Source organism: Homo sapiens, chromosome 8 (assembly GCF_000001405.40).
Source record: "Homo sapiens chromosome 8, GRCh38.p14 Primary Assembly".
NCBI classification, from domain to species: domain Eukaryota; kingdom Metazoa; phylum Chordata; class Mammalia; order Primates; family Hominidae; genus Homo; species Homo sapiens.
The window spans coordinates 74604597-74609792 of record NC_000008.11 but is presented as its reverse complement, the minus strand read 5'-3'; the positions used below and the strand labels follow the sequence as shown (position 1 = coordinate 74609792).

Here is a 5196-nt window from a genome sequence, read left to right as displayed (position 1 = left end):
AGTCCTAGCTGAGAGTTTTAGGTTAAGAATAAGTATTATTTATTATTATTATTATTTATTTATTATTATAAATAAAATACATTTATTACATTAAATGAGAGTATCTTTTTTTAGTCTAATAATCTGGCATATTAAATTGATTGATCTTTATATGTTAAACTCATTTTGCATTCTTGGAATAAATCATACAAGGTTTTGACTTATTATCACTGTTATATGTTGTTAACTTTGATCAATTAAAATTTTGTTAGAAAGGTTTGTATCACATTTATGAGGAATATTGGCATGCAATTTTCTTCCTTTGCAATATCTTTGTCTGGTTTTGGTGTTTGAGTAATGCTGGCATCGTATAATTGGTTGAAAAATATTTTCTCTTTTATAATTTTCTGGAAGAACTTGTATAGCATTGGCTTTATTTCTTGTTTAAATGTTTGATAGAATTCCCTAGCGAAGCATCTGGGTCTAAAGTTTCCTGTGTAAAAAATTTTTAACTACAATTCAACTATTTTACTAAATATGGGACTATTCAGGTTATCTATTTCTTCCTCAGTAAACTCTGTTAATTTTTATCTTTCACGGTATTTGTTCTTTTCTTGTAAGTAGTCAAATTTATTCACATATTTTAAGAGACAATATTTGTTATTATCCTCTTAATATCAATAAACTCTTTAGTGATGTCACATATCTTATTCCTGACACTGGTAATTTGCATATTTACTCTTATTTTTATCACTGGTTGCCAAAAAGCCTATTAACTTTATTAATCTTAAAAATTCTTTTGTTTTTATTAATTTTCTCTATTACTTTTATGTTTTCTCATTCATTAATTTCTGCTCTGGTTTTTATTATTATGTTCTGTAACATTAAAAAGTATTTACTTTGGATTTTATTTTGTTTTTTCTTATTTCTTAAAACTTAAGCTGAGATTACTGACTTGAGACCTTTCTTCTTTTCTAATACAGGTAGTTGGTGTCATAAATTTTCCACTAAGTTTTGTTTTAACTTCATCTCACAAAATTTGATACTGTATTTTCATTTTCATTCAGTTCGTAATATTTTCTACATTCCTTTCTTGACACACAGTTTACTTAGAAATGTCTTTATAATTTTCAAATATTTGGAGATTTTTCTATTCATGATTTCTAACTGTGGTCTGACAATATACTTTGTATGAATTTAATTGATTGAATCTTAACTTATGATTCAGAATATGGTCTATCTTGGTAAATATTTAGTGTGAACTATATATTAAATACACATAAAATATACATTGAAAAGAATGTGTATTCTGATTTTTTAGGATGGAGTGCTCTTTGTAGGTCAATAAGGTCAACCTGATTGATAGTGTTAAGACTTCAATATTCTTATAGATGTTTTTTTCTCTTCATCTTATCGTAACTGAGTAACCCAGTTGTTAAAGAAAAAAAGAGTTACAATTTAAAAAATTATTTTCTCTTCTTTTCTCCTTTCTCCATTTCCCCCATTCCCTATTTCCTATTTAGCCCTTTAGAAATGCAATTATAACCTTTTACATCTTCTTCCCCAGACACTCCCTATAGGGCAAGTTCATCTAATTATGTGCTTAGAAGCTCTAGAGCAGAACTCTCACCCACCGAAAAGGTGATCCAAGAGTTAACAGTTGACTTACAACCTAAAATATGCCTGCTATGAAATTTTAACCTACCAGGAAACTGTCTGAAGAGACAGCCGCCAATTTACAACCCAAAGTCCCATGCAAAATTCTCTCCCACCTGGAGAGTTTTTGGACACCTTTACAATCTATTAATATTTCTGCCAATGAAGATGCCAATTCAACTGCCCAATAGATAAGGCACCAAGCTAACATGTAGACACCTCCCACACCTGCTTGCTTTCTCCCTTGTGTGCCATTCATAATAGGCCCCCTTTAAAAGCAACCACTTTCTGATCCAAAGGTGAAGCGGTACCCTTAAGACAGGAAGGCTGTACTTCCGCTAAGCTAGTTTTGTAATAAAGAGTCACTTTCTTTATACCAGACTTTGCTCTTATTAATTGAACTCCATGAGCAGTGAGTGACTAAACCTGTATTTCACTTATACTATTAATTACTGAAAAAGGGTTAAATTCCTGAATAAAATGGTAGATTTGCCTATTTCTCCTTTTTGTTCTATCAGTTCTGGTTTTGTGTATTTTTATTTTTTTAGATGGAGTTTGACTCTTGTCACCCAGGCTGGAGAGCAATGGCATGATCTTGGCTCACTGCAACCTCTGCCTCCTGGGTTCAAGTGATTCTCCTGCCTCAGCCTCCCAAGTAGCTAGGATTACAGGCACCCACCACCACGCCCGGCTAATTTTTGTATTTTTAGTAGAGACGGGGATTTGCCATGTTGGCCAGGCTAGTCTCAAACTCCTGACCTCAGGTGATCCACCCACCTCGGCCTCTCAAAGTGCTGGGATTACAGGCGTGAGCCACCATGCCTGGCCTGTTATGTGTATTTTTTAAGCTCTATTATTAAGTGCTTAAATGTTTAATATCATTTTCCCCTAAAAAACTCACTCCCTTTATTATTGTGAATTAATTATCTTATAGCTACTATTATTTTTATGTTCTGAAATCTACTTTCTTTGATATTAATATAGCCACTCCAGCTTTCTTTTGATTGATGTTAGCAAGCAAATCTTTTTTTTTTTTTAAGTTTTACTCTGTGTGGGTCATTATATTTAAGGTGGGTTTCTTATAGGCTATATATAGTTGGATCTTGCTTTTTTCTCCAATCTTTCAATTTTTTTGCCTTTTAGTTGGGATTTTTAGGCCATTTACATTTAATACGGCTATTGGTAATGTTCAATTTGTCCTTTTTTGCCTTTAGGATTGAGGGTTTTTTATTATTTCATTTTATCTGCCTTTTTTTCTTTGTTACATACTAGCTATGTTTTTGTTGTGTTCTTTTAATGTTTGCTTTAGGATTTAAAGTACAATTTTTTAAAACTTTTATTTTAAGTTCAGGGGTGCATGAGCAGATTTATTATATAGGTCACAGGAATTTGTTGCACAGATTGTCACCCAGGTATCAAACCTAGTACCTACTGGTTATTTTTCCTGATCCTTTCCCTTCTTCCACCCTCTACACTCGGGTAGGCCCCAGTGTCTATCATTCCCCTGTACGTGTCTATGTGTTCTCATCATTTAGCTCCCACTTATAAGTGAGAACTATTGTATAAATTTTTAACTTACTGCAATCTACCTTTAAGTGAAATTATACCATTTTTCACATTACATCAGAACTTTAAAATAGTATTCTTTTACTTCTTCCCTGCTGGCCTCTGTGATTGTATTGTCACATATTTTATTTCTACATATGTTATAAATATCATAATGTAATGCCCAACCTTGTTTTCACTAACCCTGTTTTTAGACTCTCCCTTTACTTTAATCACCTAGCCTTGTTTCCACCTGAATTGACTCTCCCTTAGCTAAGAGAGCCAGACAGACTCCATCTTGGCTCTTTCACTGGCAGCCCCTTCCTCAAGGACTTAACTTGTGCAAGCTGACTCCCAGCACATCCAAGAATGCAATTAACCGATAAGATACTGTGGCAAGCTATATCCACAGTTCCCAGGAATTCATCCGATTGATAACACCCAAAGCCCCGCGTCTATCACCTTGTAATAGTCTTAAAGCCCCTGCACCTGGAACTGTTTACTTTCCTGTAACCATTTATCCTTTTAACTTTTTTGCCTACTTTACTTCTGTAAAATTGTTTTAACTAGACCCCCCACCTCCCCTTTCTGAACCAAAGTGTAAAAGAAAATCTAGCCCCTTCTTCGGGGCCAGAGAACTTTGAGTGTTAGCCGTCTCTTGGCCGCCGGCTAAATCAACAGACTCTTAATTTGTCTCAAAGTGTGGCATTTTCTCTAACTCGCTAAGGTACAACAATAATACATTGATACTATAATTTATTTAAACAGTTGATTGTCTTTTAAAGAGAAATAAACAATTAGAAGGTCGTTTATATTTTGCCTTTGTTATCATTTCCAGTTCTTTAGTTTTTTATTTCTAGTTTGTGATTCATTCAAATTTGAATTATTTGACTATCAAAAATGTTCTTTTCTTTGTTGGAACTCTTTCAGTACAAATAACTTGATTATTTACAAAGTGCTAAAATTTCCTTTCAAGGTCATATTGCAGCTAATTTCCTCATCGTGGTTCCCCAAAACACAGGCATTACTTTCAAGTGTCTTCTTTCCAAGTATTTTCTTCTCAACTAACACTACTCTAGATTTCCTTATAAAATTTGTGAGGGAACTCATAACTTACAAAATTAGAGAAGAACTCTTAAATAGGATACTCACAAGCTTATTTCCATTTCCCTTCTAAATGTCACAAGACCACAATAAATGGGAAAATTTTCAATACTTCATTGTGAAATGCCCTAAGGAATCAAATCAGTGAGCAGTGAATGTTAAATGCTCTCCTGCTTAGCCCACGAAGCTTTTGAGTCAGATTACAAAGTTCCTCCCTGGGCAGAATTTGCTGTGTCTGTATTATATCACAGCTAATTAGTATTAAAATTCGGTCAGTTACCCCTCATGTAAAAATAGCATGCAAGTAATGGCAACCTAAACCACAGACTCTGCATCTTTGATGAGGGGAGGAAGGCGGGGTCCTAAGGAACCCAAAAAGAAGAGCTGTCTTCTAGAGAAATGAAGTTAGGGTGCAACAAGGGCCCATGTGACTGATAATCATGAAGGGCAGAATATGGGTCTTAAGACACAGTGACAAAAAACAATCAGTCATTTTGTTACCAGAAAGCCATTCTGATCCAGACCCTAAGGGACAGTTATTGAATCTCATGCAAGAAATTCAGGATGAGCTCACAGGGTAAAGTGAAAGCAAGTTAATTAAAGAAGTAAAGAAACGGCCGGGTGCGGTGGCTCACGCCTGTAATCCCAGCACTTTCGGAGGCTGAGATGGAAGGATCACTTGAGGTCAGGAGTTCAAGACTAGCCTGACTAATGTGGTGAAACCTCGTCTCTACTAAAAATACAAAAATTAGCCAGGCATGGTGGCACATGCCTGTAATCCCAGCTACTAGGGAGGCTGAGGCAGGAGAGTCGCTTGAATCTGGGAGACGGAAGTTGCAGTGAGCCAAGATCGCGCCATTGCACTCCAGCCTGGGCAACAAGAGCAAGACTCCGTCTCAGAAAAAAAAAAAA

The 5196-nt window shown here is 35.1% G+C and overlaps 1 long non-coding RNA gene across 2 annotated transcripts in view; it reads right to left on the bottom strand.

Annotated features, from left to right (window-relative positions):
• Nucleotides 1-5196, bottom strand: part of MIR2052HG (MIR2052 host gene) — a 158596-nt gene that overhangs the window by 148560 nt on the left and 4840 nt on the right. The gene's annotated exons all lie outside the window — the stretch shown is intronic.